Below are 15,209 nucleotides of genomic sequence, written 5' to 3'. Positions count from 1 at the left end.
GAGACTGAAATGTCACTGCAGATGAGACATGCCAAATTCTCTCCATTTCTTTGATAAACTGGAGAAATGAAATACTGAACAATTCTGAGAAACCAATATTCTCAGTTTTTAAGTATGACAAAATAGGACATTGTGTCAGTTGTACACTGTTTTTCATAATTTCCTTTATATTTATTTTTCATTTAAAATAAAAATACAGGGTGGGCGCAGTAGCTCATGCCTGTAATCCCAGCACTTTGGGAGGCCAAGGCAGGAGGATCACTTGAAGCTGGGAGTTCGATACCAGCTTGGGCAACAAAATGAGATTCCATCTCTACAAAAAAATTTAAAAAATGAAATTAGCCAGGTGTGGTGGTGTATACCTGTAGTCCCAGCTACTTGGGAGGCTGAGGTGGGGGGATTGCTTGAGCTCAGGAGGTTGAGGCTGCAATGAGCTATGATCATGGGACTGCACTCCAGCTTGGGCAATAGAACGAGATTACATCACTAAAAAAAAAAGTATTCCTCCACTTACCCATGGGTGGAATGTTCACACACACTAAAAAAAAAAAAAGTATTCCTCCACTTACCCGTGGGTGGAATGTTCACACACACACACACACACACACACACACACACTCTCTCTCTCTCTCTCCTTCAGCCTTTATTGTAGCTGTCTGTTTCCCCTCAACTGCCCTCTTATTTTGGTGCAAAGAGGGAGGTCCAAGTCATTTTCTTACCATTCTTGCTTATACATTCCCAAATTCTGCCTCTTTCATATTTTACTTGTGGCCACATGGTCAGGAGGAAAACTGATGTTTCTATATGCCTCTCTGGCTGATTTGATGCGTGACACAAGGCAGTCAACATTGAAGCTTATGGCCGGGCGTGATGGCTCACGCCTGTAATCCTAGCACTTTGGGAGGCTGAGGCGGGCAGATCACAAGGTCAAGAGATCAAGACCATCTTGGCCAACATGGTGAAACCCAGTCTGTACTAAATATACAAAAATTAGCTGCGCATGGTGGCGCACACCTGTAGTCCCAGCTACTTGGGAGGCTGAGGCAGAAAAATCACTTGAACCTGGGAGGTGGAGGTTGCAGTGAGCCGAGGTGGTGTCACTGCATTCCAGCCTGGAGACAGAGCGAGACTGTCTCAAAAAAAAATTTTTTTTTTAAATTGAAGCTTATTTGCCCGTACTACTTCTTGGCATCTTTTGCTCTCGGTCAGCAACATCCAAACTAGGGAGTAGGTCTTACATTAAAAAAATAGTTCCAGGCCCTCCCTCTTCTTGGTTCTGCCCATGGCTTTTCATAGGACATGTGTACAGTAGCCAGTGGTATCCTGTGTACCATCCATAAATTGACTAGAGGCTCAGAAGGTCGAGATAAAGTTGTCTTAATATAATAGGTCTTGGTTCCCTAAGATAAGAGTAATTCATCCTGGAGGCAAGACAGATGGCAAATGCTTGTTCTACCTCCTGTTTTCAGTAGCCCCTTCAGTAAATGGTCATGGAAATAGCAATACACAGGCTGCCGCCTCTGACTGGAACACATTCACCACTTCTCCCCTTGAATGCGTGCACACCAGCCACAGTCCTACCACCATTTCCAGGTTTGGCTCAGTATCAGGCTTTCTGACCACCCCAGGCAGAAGAGATCCTCGCTCTCACAGCAGCATTCTTGCACCTGCCCCAGGACCATGTAAGGCTGTCGGCCAGGTCTTCCTCCCCTTTCCTTGTGGGTGTTGTAGTCACCCTGGAGCAGGCTTTTGACTTCATTTTTCTGGCATACCTAGCACTAAGCAGAGTGCCTGGCCCGCCATAGGTGTTCCATTAATGTGTATTGAAAGAATGCATTTTTATTAACAAATTTGTGAAGGAAGTGATGGCTGCACCTGCTGTTCTCACCACCTTCTGTGCTTAGTCACGCCTTCTTTTAGCTGTTTGGAAAGCATCTAAACAGTGGGAAGCCTTGGTTTTACAGCTGAACTGAGGAAGGACAAAACAACAACTAAATGATTTAAAACTAAATCGGCCACCACTCCTTCCCGTTTTTATGTCATCATACAATCATTAGTGACCATTTTCTATAAGGGTGCTACGTCCTAAAGTGTATTTATTTTTCAAGGTACTGTCACCGTCAGATTACCCCAGTATGGTCCTGGGACATTTGTACATCCTTGTTACCACAACCATGAAGGAAGCAGGGTTAAATGTATTATGTTATATGACAATATCAAAAATTTCTTTTTTTTATTATAGTAGGAATTGGTGTTTGAGAGCTGGTCCCTGCAATAACATAATCTTTATATTATGGTTGGTAGCATTCAAAGATCTTTCAAATACCAGTAAGAATAACCAATCATTATTTTAATACTGAAAAAGAAAACCATAATTTTTCTGTCTTAAAGTGACAGTTATATATTTTATGTCACTTTCCTCCTGAATGTTTCCTCATCCTTCTTTTATCTTCAAATATCTGTTAGCCCAAATAGAGAACTAAGGAATTTACCCCTGGTGTGGACAGGAAAATATTAGGCCAGTAGTTGGATATGGTGTCTATTTTATAGGAGTTCAAATTCTATGTTGCATTGGATTTTATTGCAAAGCAGTTACTTACTCCCCTCCCCCAGGTTGCCTTTATTTAAAAATGAGTGAAATATAAATATAGAAGCCTTTATCATTCTATTGAATAATAACACAAAATGAAAAAAACATAATGATGCAGAAAGTTGAAATAATTTTTTTTTCTGTAATATACAGGTAACCTTACTCCTAACAGTATTTGGTGAAGATGATCAGTCTCAGGATGTTCTGAGATTGCATCAGGATATTAATGATTATAACCGGAGATTCTCAGGGCAACCCAGATCTGTAAGTAATGCTAAAGCATGTTCAAAGTTAGAGGAAGACACATTTCTTCTCTTTTGTAAAGTGAGGTTTACCAACAAGTATTCTTTGACTATGAGAAATCTTGGCCAGGCACAGTAGCTAACGCCTATAATCCTAGCACTTTGGGAGGCCAAGGCAGGTGGATCACTTGAGCCCAGGAGTTTGAGACCAGCCTTGGAAACATGATGAAACCCCATCTCTAGAAAAAACACCAAAAAATTGGACAAGAGTGTTGGCACATGCCTGTAGTCCCTGCTTCTTGGGAGGCTGAAATGGGAGGATCACCTGAGCCCAGGAGGTTGAGGCTATAGTGAGCCATGATCGCACTATTGCACTCCCACCTGGGTGGCAGTGAGACCCTTCCTCAAAAAACAAGAAAAGAAAAAGAAAAAAAAAAATCTCATTATATGTGTTGGGTCAAGTTTTTACCTTCATTGCTGCCAATCACTACATTACACCTTTCCCAAGGACTACAATTTTCTTTCTTAAAAAACAAACAGCATTATAAAAGTTTTTATGAAAGAGAAACTAGCAGAAAAGCAATAGAAAAAATTAGAGGGAAATAGAAAATTATTTACTTCTTTGTGATACTAAAACACCATTTGTCTTTTGAGAAAAGTTACAACTGAAAACTTTAAGTTTCACAGTTGTGGTTTATTCTATTTGCCCTAGCCCTGTTTGAAATGTTCCCTTAAAAAAATTCCAGGTTGGCTGGGGGCGGTGGCTCACGCCTGTAATCCCAGCACTTTGGGAGGCCGAGGCGGGTGGATCACCTGAGGTCAGCAGTTCGAGACCAGCCTGGCCAACACGGTGAAACCCTGTCTCTACTAAAAATACAAAAATTAGCTGAGTGTGGTGGCAGGCACCTGTAATCCTAGCTACTCGGGAGACTGAGGCTGGAGAATCACTTGTACCCGGCAGACAGAGGTTGCAGTGAGCCGATATCACGCCACTGCACTCCAGCCTGGGCGACGAGAGTGAAACTCCAAAAAATTCCAGGTTTAGGCCGGGCACAGTGGCTCACACCTGTAATCCCAGCACTTTGGGAGGCTGAGGTGGGCAGATCATTTGAGTTCGGGAGTTTGAGACCAGCCTGATCAACATGGTGAAACCCTGTCTCTACTAAAAATACAAAAATTAGCTGGGTATGGTGGTTTGTGCCTGTAGTCCCAGCTACTTGGAAGGCTGAGGCAGGAGAATCACTTGAACCCGGGAGGCAGAGGTTGCAGTGAGCTGAGATCACGCCACTGCACTCCAGCCTGGGCAACAGAGTGAGACTCCCGTCTCAGAAAAAAAAAAGTTTGGAGGGATATGTTTATATGTCATCTTAGCTATTTAAAAGCAGAACACTGTACAGATAACCTTTCTTCCCCTTACCCTAGAAGTATTTGATAAATCAAAAACTAGCACATTTTACTGACTCATTCTTGTTTTATCAAAATCTAACACATTCTTAGAAATGTAAAACTGAATAAGTACTTCAAAAACTAGAATGTACTAAATCCAAATTTATATGGACAGCCCAGACCTCTCCTCTGAGCTCCAGACTCTGTAGATCCAACTGCTTCGCTTCCATTTCAGCGTGGGTGCTCCACAGACATCCCTAACTTAACACGTGGAGTATTGAGCTGATTCCCTCCTTGACATAGTCTGTTCTTTTCTCAGTTTTGATTTCCTCCTCTTCTTCATTCCTCTCATCTGGTCTATAAGTAATCCTACCTTTTCTTTCTATTTTTGGGGTGTCCTATTATTTTTACTGCATCAACATATTCTTGCTGGCTGGGCACAGTGGCTCATGCCTGTAATCCTGGCACTTTGGGAGACTGAGGCAGGCAGATCACTTGAGCTCAGGAGTTTGAGACCAGCCTGGGCAACTTAGCAAGACTTTGTCTCTACCAAAAAATACAAAAATTAGTCAGGCACGGTGGTGTGCACCTGTAGTTTCAGCTACTTGGGAGGCTGAGGTGGGAGGACTGCTTGAGCCCGGGAGGCAGAGGTTGCAATGAGCCAGGATCACATCACTGCACTCCAGCCTGGGTGATCGAGTGAGACCTTGTCTCAAAAAGAACAAAAATGTCTTGGCTGTGTTGTTGTTGTTGTTTGAGACAGATTCTCACTCTTTCCCAGGCTGGAGTGCAGTGGTGTGATCACGGCTCACTGCAGCCTCAACCTTCCAAGCTCAGGCCATCCTGCCGCCTCAGCCTCCCAAGTAGCTGGGACCACAGGGGTGCATCACCACACCCGGCTAATTTTTTATAGAGACTGGGTTTTGCCATGCTGCCCAGGCTGGCCTTGAACTCCTGGGCTCAAGCAATCCACCCCCTCAGACTGCCAAAGTGCTGGGATTACAGGTGTGAGCCACCGTGCCCAGCCTGTGTCCACTTCTTTCAATCACTGTAGACATTGTGCTGGTCCAGCCCTGTCATCTCTGCTCACGGCAACCACAGTGGCCTCCTCACTTCTACTTTTTTCCCTGCCACAGCAGCCTGATACATGTTTTCTAGACATAAATGAGACCATGATGCTCTTGTGTTTGAAAACTTCTATTTTGTTTGTTTGTTTTGAGACAGGCTCGAGTGCGGTGGTGCAATCTTGGCTCGCTGCAACGTTTGCCTCCTGGGCTCAAGCCTTCCTCCCACCTCAGCCTCCCAAGTAGATGGGACTACAGGTGCATGCCACCACAACCCGGCTAATTTTTATATTTTTTGTAGAGATGGGGTTTCGCCATGTTGGCCAGGCTGTTCTCAAACTCCTGGGCTCAAGTGGTCCTCCCACCTCGGCCTCCCAAAGTGGTGGGATTACAGGCATGAGCCACCACTTGTGGCCCAATGTCTTTGAATGTTCCAACTCCTTACTGTGGCTTACAGGGCGCCACATGATCTGGTCCTCCCTCCCTCTCCAAATTTCTGTTAACCGCCTCAATCACCACCCTGCAGCCACCCTGCTCTATGCTCTCAGCACACACACAAACTCCTTCCACCTTAAGGCTGTCACACCTGACACTTCCTCTGCATGGAATGCTTGTCCTTCTGCTCTTATGGTGATTTCCCAGTCTTTAAATGACAACTATCTTAAGTAGACCCTCCTTGGAGAAGTTTTCCCTGCTCTGTGGCGCCCTCTGTACCTTTCCTTCATGGCGTTTATCATAGACAGCACTCAATTCTTGTTCATTATCTTTCTCTCAGTAAACTAAAAGCTTCATAAGGGTAAGGACCATTTTTATTTATTTACCACTGCCGAGTTTCCAACAGTGCCAAATTTGGTGCCTTAATGTGTGTTGAATAAATGAATTACTGTTAAGATAAGAATTGATACTGCTGCTCCCAGCCGAATATATTAAGCTATTCAGATGCTTCAGTGTTAAACAGACATGTGCTCATGCTCCATTGTTCCTTGTTCTGTGAGGTCGTGTACATTTCAGGGCATAGATTTCAACTGTTATGGATGATAATGGGTAGATTTACCCATTTTTCATTGAGCAGGAAAAAAAAAAACTTAATCCAATCATGTTGTCCTCCATAATTATTTGGGAGCCTCTTCTGCAATTTTGACCCAGCAATTTTTTTTTTACATATCCTCCGGTGACATCAGTAGGATGGTTCTTTAAAAATGCAACCTGTTTCAAATTTAAGAGCTACCACTAAACTTTAATAAAGTCATTTAACATTTTTCTTTTCATTTCTTTTCTTTTTGAGACAGAGTCTCGCTCTGTCGCCCAGGCCAGAATGCAATGGCGCGATCTCGGCTCACTGCAACCTCTGTCTCCTGGGTTCAAACAGTTCTCATATTTCAGCCACCTGACTAGCTGGGATTACAGGTGTGTGCCACCATGCCCAGCTAATTTTTGTATTTTTAGTAGAGACGGGGTTTCACCCTGCTTTCCAGGCTGATCTCAAAACTCTTGGCTTCAAGCGATCTGCTCACCTTGGCCTCCCAAAGTGCTGGGATTACCAGTGTGAGCCACTGCATCCAGCCTTTAGAATTTTTCCTTCATTATTTTTAAAATGTGAAGCATACTATTACTCAATTATTATTTTTTGTGTCAGATATTTAATGAGTAAGAAAGCCTGGTATGTGATGAAATTATAATATAAAAAAGGCATTTAGCTCTTTAATATTCTGCCTCCTTCAAAGTTGGAGTAAGTTTATGCAGAAACATTTCTTACTAAACCATTTCATTATTTCTGGTCTAATTATTAAAGATTTTGTATAAATGATGATACTGTATTACAAGTGAACAAAATAGCTCTGAAAAAGGACAGAAGGGTATTCAAAAGACATGCTGGCTGTTTGTTAGAGTATCTAAAGTCATTTACTATAAACTTTGTGAAAGCTGTAAGGCTGTTTTGCTTTAGATATTAGTTCTTCCACAGAACATAGGAAGTGATTATGAAACAACCATTCTTGTACTTCGGTGAGCATTGTTCCAAAAGGAGTCACAAGATGATTTTCTCTTAGTCTGGGGGTTTCAAAAACTATTTTCTCCTCACTTGCTCAGTTCTTTGCGTTTTTGTCTCCATCTCCCTCTCAACTTATTTGGCACTTGTTACATAAAACGCCTATCTAGAGTTTGCGTGTATGACTGTTACACAGATTGTTAAACATAGCAGAGAAATGACCAGAGGAAGTGATTCACCAGAAGGAATCAGTTTCACTGCTATTCTTAAACTATTTAAGCCATCAAAGTTCCTATGTCTTTAATGTATAATCACTTCTATATTGTCTGGCAAGTTATAAAGGTCTTTCATACACAGTATCTCTTTTAGTTATTTTTTTCTTTTGAATTTTTAGTCCGCTTGCCAGGGAACCTTTTCGTTCTTAACAGTCCTTGCACATAAATACACAGTTAGTTGTTGAATTATCTCTAGTAGGTTAAGCAACTGTTCCTAAGATCACCTGGCTAGTAAGTGATTGATTTTGAATTCAAACCCAGATCTGTCTGACTTTAAAGCTGAGACTTAAGCTCAAGTCTCAGACTCTAATCCTGCGCGCTAGGTTCTTTGGTTTATTTTACTAACTCAAATCAGATGTTACTTGAGTTTTGCATTACTATATCCCGTATTTTAAGCTTGTTGACACTTTAGTTGCCTTTCAATTATCTGCAATAAGATCTATTCTGTAAGAACTAGTATTCAAAGAGCTATTTTTAAATACAACACATAATTAGAAAATATGTTCAATTAATGTGTAACTCCTTAATTCATCTTAACAATGTTTACATATAGTAAGAAAATTATATTATTTTGAAATCTGACACATTAGGTGCTGAATCATAATACTTGTTTTTCCCTCTACCAGATTATGGAGAGAATTATGGATCTACCCACTTTACTGAGGCATGCATTCAGGGAAATGTTTTCAGTCGGGGGCCTTTTCTGGATGTTTCGCATCAGGATAATACTTTGTTTAATGGGAGCTTTTTTCTATCTTATATCACCTCTAGATTTTGTACCTGAAGCCTTGTTTGGAATTCTAGGCTTTCTAGATGATTTCTTTGTCATCTTTTTATTGCTTATCTACATCTCTATTATGTATCGAGAAGTGATAACCCAAAGGCTAACTAGATGAAAAAGAAAACAAAACTGAGTTTACTAGGATATCTGAGCTAATGTAGAACATCAAACAGAAGGACCCATGGCAGTATAAAGCAATGAAGCAATGGAGTATTATCTCACAAATATAAAACCACTATAAGACAAACATTTGATTATCATTTGACAAATACCTAGGTATAACTGGAATTTTCATGTTTGAAGTTCTAATATTAAGTTTAGAATTATAATGATCTACAGTTGTATCTTGATTCTATGTTGTCTGGAAAAAATATGGAATTATATAAAAAGGGATGCTTTTATATATTTTTCTTTTCCCCAGAATTACTTAGATTAATTAGATGTATAGTAAAATATTGTTAAATGTCAGTTTATCCATCTTATCCTTCTCAGCAGGTACCTATATGATAATATATAGCTGTGAAACTCATCTAAATATTTTTGTTCCAATAAAATATTATATACTATTGGGGAAAATTCAGTATTTCTTTTAGTGCTAGCTAAGTTTTGTGCATTTGGAGCAGTTCTGCCTTTTCATTCTGGTATAATTAATTATTTGCTATCAGCTGAAACTGAAAGAAGAAACTTGAACTTCATACTTCGATATCATATTCTAGTTTACAGAACACATTTTAATCAATAGAAGAATTAAGATGAAAAACATGGCCGGGCGGGGTGGCTCACGCCTGTAATCCTAGCACTTTGGGAGGCTGAGGCGGGTAGATCACAAGGTCAGGAGATCAGGACCATCCTGGCTAACATGGTGAAACCCCGTCTCTACTAAAAATACAAAAAATTAGCCAGGCGTGGTGGCAGGCGCCTGTAGTCCCAGCTACTCGGGAGGCTGAGGCAGAAGAATGGCGTAAACCCAGGAGGTGGATTGCGCCACTGCACTCCAGCCTGGGCAACAGAGTGAGACTCCCTCTCAAAAAAAAAAAAAAAAAAGATGAAAAACATTTATCTCCAGTCAGCACACTTGATGTTCACAGTTAGACATTTAAACAAGAGCTCATCCTTTCGTAGTAGATATAAAAGTAATTTGTAAAGGGAAGATTGTTTTAGGAACCTGGGCGATGCTGCAAACACAGAGTAGCCTGATGCATTTCTGAGGAAGGTGAATCTTCGTGTCTTTGAGCATCAAGCCAATAGGAAGGTACTGGGAACGGTATTTACATTTGACAAAAGAAATTACTGGTTAGCTATAGCAACAGATTGGACAAATTTTGTTAGTTTTCTGTTGTCAGAAATTTTTATAATACTGTCTCAGGATGGCAGCACACAGCTCAGATTCATGTCTTGAGCCAAACAAGTGAATGTATCTGAGAAGACTCAGTACCACATGGTACTGGGAGATCTTACTCACTTCAGCTGGCGTTGCTCATTAGTGAATGTATGACAGCAGGATGTGAGGGGATGCCCAGGAGTCAGTGTTAGCATTGTCATCTGAGATCACTGCTATTAATATCATCCATTAATTTATTAGTGAGCTTCACTATATGCAGACTGGGAGATAAGGAGAAAATCTGTCACATTCTCTCTAGCTAATCAGATCAGCTACCAATTAATGAGATTCTGAATGAAATATCAATATGTGTTTTTCTAATTTGGACCTAGGACAGAGCTGTTGCTTGTCATAGAGAAAAACAATAATGCTTAAACATAGCACATTATAATTAAAGCAGGTTTCTCACATACTTTTCATTTTATCCTTTGGATAATTTTGTGAGGAACGCAGGACACCAACTTCCCTTTCATAGATACAATCCCCATGCTATTGATGAAAGTGTTTTTGAATGAAGTCATACAACAAATAACTGATCAAAGTGGCATTACACCAAAATTTCTTAGTAGGACTCCTGCATAGAATGTTTAGATAGACGTGAAAGTTGTTAAGAGGAACAGCAAGAGAGAAACTGGTTCTTTGGAAGTCTTTCGTGCTACATTATACCTCCATCAGAGTAAGACAGCTTAGGCACTCCTAAGAGGAAAGGTCTGTGGAGATGACATGAATCCGAATTCTACACTTCCAAATCAAATAGGTAAAAGGGTGGCATACATCACAGAAAAACATTTCAGCTGCAGTCACCAACTTGAAAAGCGAGTGAGTAGGAGTTTGTCACACTGCCATGTACCAGACTGGAAATGCATTTCCTACCAATTACACATTTGGTGTGGGGGAATGGTGATGTCATTTTTTGACAGGATTTTATTTTGTGTGCATGCATTCTGCTCCAAGTGTCACAATTCTGGTTACAATAATTATAATATTTGGAGTTACTACTAAGACTTTCCTGAAAGAGGTGTATTGTACCAAATTTTGTAACATAAAAAAATACTAAATGATCTTAAAGCTTCCTAAATTGTGAAAAGGGTATGTGCTAACATCTCAGAACTTTAGACCTGCTTGTTGTCATCTTTACCGATCTCTGATGATAAATGCAGAAGGGATCTGAGAGTTTTTAAAGCAAGTAGAGTCAATCAGAGTTTTGAACATCATAGTAATACTTCCGTGATTCAGAGTTAGATCATATAAATCAAAGTAACAATTTGGATTTTTTTTAAACAACAATATCATAACTGTCATAAAACAGATGGTCCAACCCCAGGAGCAGATAATAACTTGGGCAGCTCTGTGGGGAACAAGACGGGGAAAACAACTGTTCTAACTGCCCACTAGAACAGTGGTTTCAACTACTACAATTCTCAGTGTTTGAGAGGTACAAGGGAAGAAAGGACTATGTGGATCCCTTGTGGCTATGCAGATACCTACCTCACAGAGTTGTTGTAGAAGACTGGTGGTTTGGTTCAAACCTTGTGATTAAAGAGTTTGTCAAGCATTTTATTCTTTTGAATAAAAGCAACATATCTAAAACATTTTAAAGGTGTTATTTTTCTGTTTATTTAACAGTTGTTTGCTTTCAGAACTCCTGAAAGAGCATTCAGTATAATGGTTGCAACGGCTTTATCACTAATGGACATCCAATATCTCATCACATTTCTAATTAATTTTGTTAGGTTTTTTATTTTGTTTGTGTGTTTGTTTTTTGGTCAGAGACAGGGTCTCACTCTTGCCCAGGTTGGAGTGCAGTGTTACAATCATAGCTGACTGCAGCCTCGAATTCCTGGGCTCCAGTGATCCTCCTGTCTCAGCCTCCCAAGTAGCTGGGACTATAGATGTGTGCCATCACACCTGGCTAATTAAAAAAAAAAAAAAAAAAGTTTGTAGATACATGGTCTGGCTGTGTTGCCCAGGCTGGTCTAAAACTCCCAGGCTCAGCCTTCCAAAGTGCTGGGATTACAGGTGTGAACCACCATGCCCAGTGCTGAAAATTATTTTTCTATTAAGCAAATAAATTAATTTGCAGACCACAGTGAAAATTTAGTCACGGAGATGTTTTACAAAGAAAAATTCAACATTCAGTTCAATGCAACAAATTTTGTTTTAAATTATATGAAATTCTGCTGGACGCAGTGGCTCACACCTGTAATCCCAGCATTTTGGGAGGCCAAGGCGGGCAGATCACAAGGTCAGGAGTTTGAGACCAGCCTGGCCAACATAGTGAAACCCCGTCTCTACTAAAATACAAAAATTAGCCAGGTGTGGTGGCACGCACCTGTAGTCCCAGCTACTTGGGAGGCTGAGACAGGAGAATCGCTTGAACCTGGAAGGCAGAGGTTGCAGTGAGCTGAGATCATGCCATTGCACTCCAGCCTGGGTGACAGAGTGAGACTCCATCTCAAAAATTAAAAAAAAATAAATGAATAAATAAATTATATGTAATTCACCATACCAATGATAAGTTTACCACTTTGAAATAAGGAAATATAAGGATTATATTCAACAGGTAATAAAAGTATATATTTCATTTCCAAGTTATGGATCACTGGAAGACAGGAAACAAGAAAAGGGAACAAGGAAGAGAACTTGGCTGAGGGACACCACATTGACCAGTTTCATTCTAGATGGATTAATGATCATAGACACCAAGAGGGCACCCTGCTGGCAGGTGATCCTTGGGTGCTGCTTGAGTGGCTTGTGCCCCCAGCTTCTCTGAACTGTCTTAAACGTTCATTCTCTTCTGATATTCCTGCACCTCCCAGGTGACAACCTAGTTTTCCTAAACCACTTCTCCCCTGCCAAGGCCTTTACTTTGCTGGCAGAAATAGCTCCCTTCTTTTTATTAAAGGCCGTTTGACTCTCAGTAAAAGGAACCACCATCCATCCATTTAAATGCTCAAGCGAGGACAGTGTGGTGGCTCACACCTATCATCCCAGCACTTTGGGAGTCCGAGGCAGGAGGATCACTTGAGTCCAGGAGTTTGAGACCAGTCTGAGCAACATAGTGAGACCCCCGTCTCTACAAATAAAATTAGCCAGACGTGGTGGTGCATGCCTGTGGTCCTAGCTACTCCAGAGCTGAAGTGGGAGGATCACTTGGGCCCAGAAGTGAAGGCTGTGGTGAGCCTTGTGGGTTGCACCACTGCAGTCCAGCCTGAGTGACAGGAGATCCCATCTCAAAATGCTCAAGCCAGAGGTGCAAGCTTAATTCGGTGTTAATATCTGAATCCTTCTCTTGTTCTTTCTTTTTCTTTCTTTTTTTTTTTTTTTTGAGACGGAGTCTCACTCTGTCACCCAGGCTGGAGTGCAATGGCACAATCTCGGCTCACTGCAACCTCCGCTTCCTGGGCTCAAGCGATTCTCCTGCCTCAGTCTCCCGAGTAGCTGGGACTACAGATGCCCACCACCACACCCAACTAATTTTTCTATTTTTAGTAGAGACAGGGTTTCTACTAAACCCTGGCCAGGCTGGTCTGGAACTCCTGATCTCAGGTAATCCGCCAGTCCCGGCCTCCCAAATTGCTGAGATTACAGGTGTGAGCCACTGCACCCAGCCTCCTCTCTTACTCTTATAACCATCTATCAACAAGCCCTGGCATTTCTACCATTGACATGTCGAATCCTATCACTCTATACCCTCTGCCACCACCGCAGTCCAAGGAGAGTTCTGTGTGTCCAGGAGCCCAATGGGGGCTGTGGTGGTAGAGCCCAGGGAGCTGGAAGGAGGGCATGAAGTGAGGTTGAAGAAGCAGGAAGGCTGTTGATTTGGATTTACGTGCAGTGGGAAGACATGATCTAACAAACATTTTTAAAAGGTCATTCTGACTACCGTGTGTAGGGTTCATCAGAGAAGAGCAGCCGTGCAAGTGAGCAGACCCATCAAGAGGCTGTTGCATGCCTGGACACACAGAACTCTCCTGCCTGTACAGTCGGATGCAGGTCAGGGCCTCAGCATATACCCCATGACCGAATGCTCCCTTCAGCCTCACCACGTTTATGCTTCACGTTACTAGACTGTGTTTCCATCCTTTGGTTCTCAGGTTAAATGTTCCCTCCTCACTCAGACTACCCAAAAGTAGGCAGTGCAAAAGTAGTGCAAAAGTAGGCAGTGACCCTCCCCTCCCCTTACCCCAGGGCACTCTGAGGCATTCAGACATCTCAGCACAGCATCATCATATTGACATTTCCATTGTCTGTCTGCTTCTCACTAGAACACAAGCTCTATGAAAACAGAGACAATGTTAGTTTTGTCCACCCAGATATTCACAGATGTACCATTATGCCTGCCACCACAGTAGTGCTCAACACATTAAAGATTAATAAATAAAGCAAGGGAAAGACAGGAAAGGGCAGAAGACAAGGAAAGATCACTTCTTACTCAGTCATGGCTGCCGCCCAGGTCTAAGCCACCCTCACTTCTCACCTAAAGGATCACAGCGACCTTCCAGGCAGTCTCCCAGGCACCAAGTGCCTGGCTCCCTACATGCAACGCAGCCCGATGATCATCTCAAGTGTGACTCTGCTGGAAAGCCTGCTCTCCCTTTCCCACAGAGTAAAGGTAAAGTCCTCACGCCAGCCTGCAAGGCCCCATGTGACCTTGGTTGCTCATTTCCTCTCTAACCTCATCTCACATTTGTCCCCACAGCTCACTCTGCTCCAGCCATCCAGCCCTCCTTGCTGTCCTTTGAGCAGGCTGAAGACGCCCAGCCTCAGGAGCTCTGCCCTGGCCAGTCCCTCTGACTGCTAGGCTCCTCCGCCGGGCATCCTCACAGCCAACTCTCACCAACTCCAGATCTTCGCACAATAGCCATTTCCTCTGTTAGGCCTGTCCTGTCCACCATAAGGAAACTTGCAACTCCCTCAGCCCACAGAGCACCTCTCACCGGCTAACATACTCTGTGGTCACGTGTTTGCTATCTGCCTCCCTAATGTCTTTGAGAACATTAGCTCCCTGAGGGCAGAAATCTCCTTCACTGACATATCCCAAGCCCCCAGAACTATGCGTGCAGCATAGTCAGTAACTATTTGTTGAATCAATGAATGAGAAAACAATATCAGGGAACTCTAAGTTGAAATACACTTTCTCAGTTCACAATGTTATCCATTCTGACCTTTATCAGACACAGGCACAGAGGACCTCAGAGATATTCCCAGCAGTCTCAATATCCATGGTAATGCTAATAAACTACTATTCTGGCATTTTGGTAATGGCAGACCTCATTTTATTGTAATTTGCTTTATTGATTTTTGCAGATATTGTACTTTTTACAAATTGAATGTTTGTGGCATCGCGGCTTCGAGCAAGTCCATTGGCACCATTTTTCCAGCAGCACGTACTCAAGTCATGTCTCTGTCACATTTTGGTAATTCTCGCAATATTGCAAACTTTCTCATTATTATTATAGCTGTTATGGTGATCCGTGATCAGTGATCTTTAATGTTACTA

General features: G+C 42.0%; 1 protein-coding gene across 20 annotated transcripts in view, besides 1 other annotated feature; it reads left to right on the top strand.

The window, feature by feature from the left end:
* The window catches only part of RNF170 (ring finger protein 170), a 47,663-nt gene extending 32,701 nt beyond the window's left edge, over nt 1-14,962 (top strand). For 14 of the 20 annotated variants that reach the window (NR_027669.2, NR_027668.2, XM_047422281.1 and 11 more), the window contains 2 exons: nt 2,744-2,854; nt 8,171-11,298. Coding sequence is in view for 16 of the 20 variants with exons in the window: in XM_047422281.1 (XP_047278237.1) it covers nt 2,744-2,854; nt 8,171-8,440 (381 nt within the window). In the remaining 4 variants the exon portion in view is untranslated. Of the gene's footprint in view, nt 1-2,743; nt 2,855-8,170; nt 11,299-13,601 lie in introns of those variants that run through there. The other 6 variants (XM_047422288.1, XM_047422287.1, XM_047422284.1 and 3 more) reach the window with 4 other exon arrangements.
* Nucleotides 7,515-7,624: an enhancer, noted in NCBI's record as "active region_27319". NCBI's record gives its function as "activates an Ori minimal core promoter by ATAC-STARR-seq in GM12878 lymphoblastoid cells {active_cell/tissue: GM12878}" and the evidence as "EXISTENCE:reporter gene assay evidence [ECO:0000049][PMID:35858748]".

Source organism: Homo sapiens, chromosome 8, assembly GCF_000001405.40.
Source record: "Homo sapiens chromosome 8, GRCh38.p14 Primary Assembly".
Lineage (NCBI taxonomy): Eukaryota > Metazoa > Chordata > Mammalia > Primates > Hominidae > Homo > Homo sapiens.
Note: the sequence above shows the minus strand (reverse complement) of the source record. Positions and strands in the feature narration are given on the sequence as shown.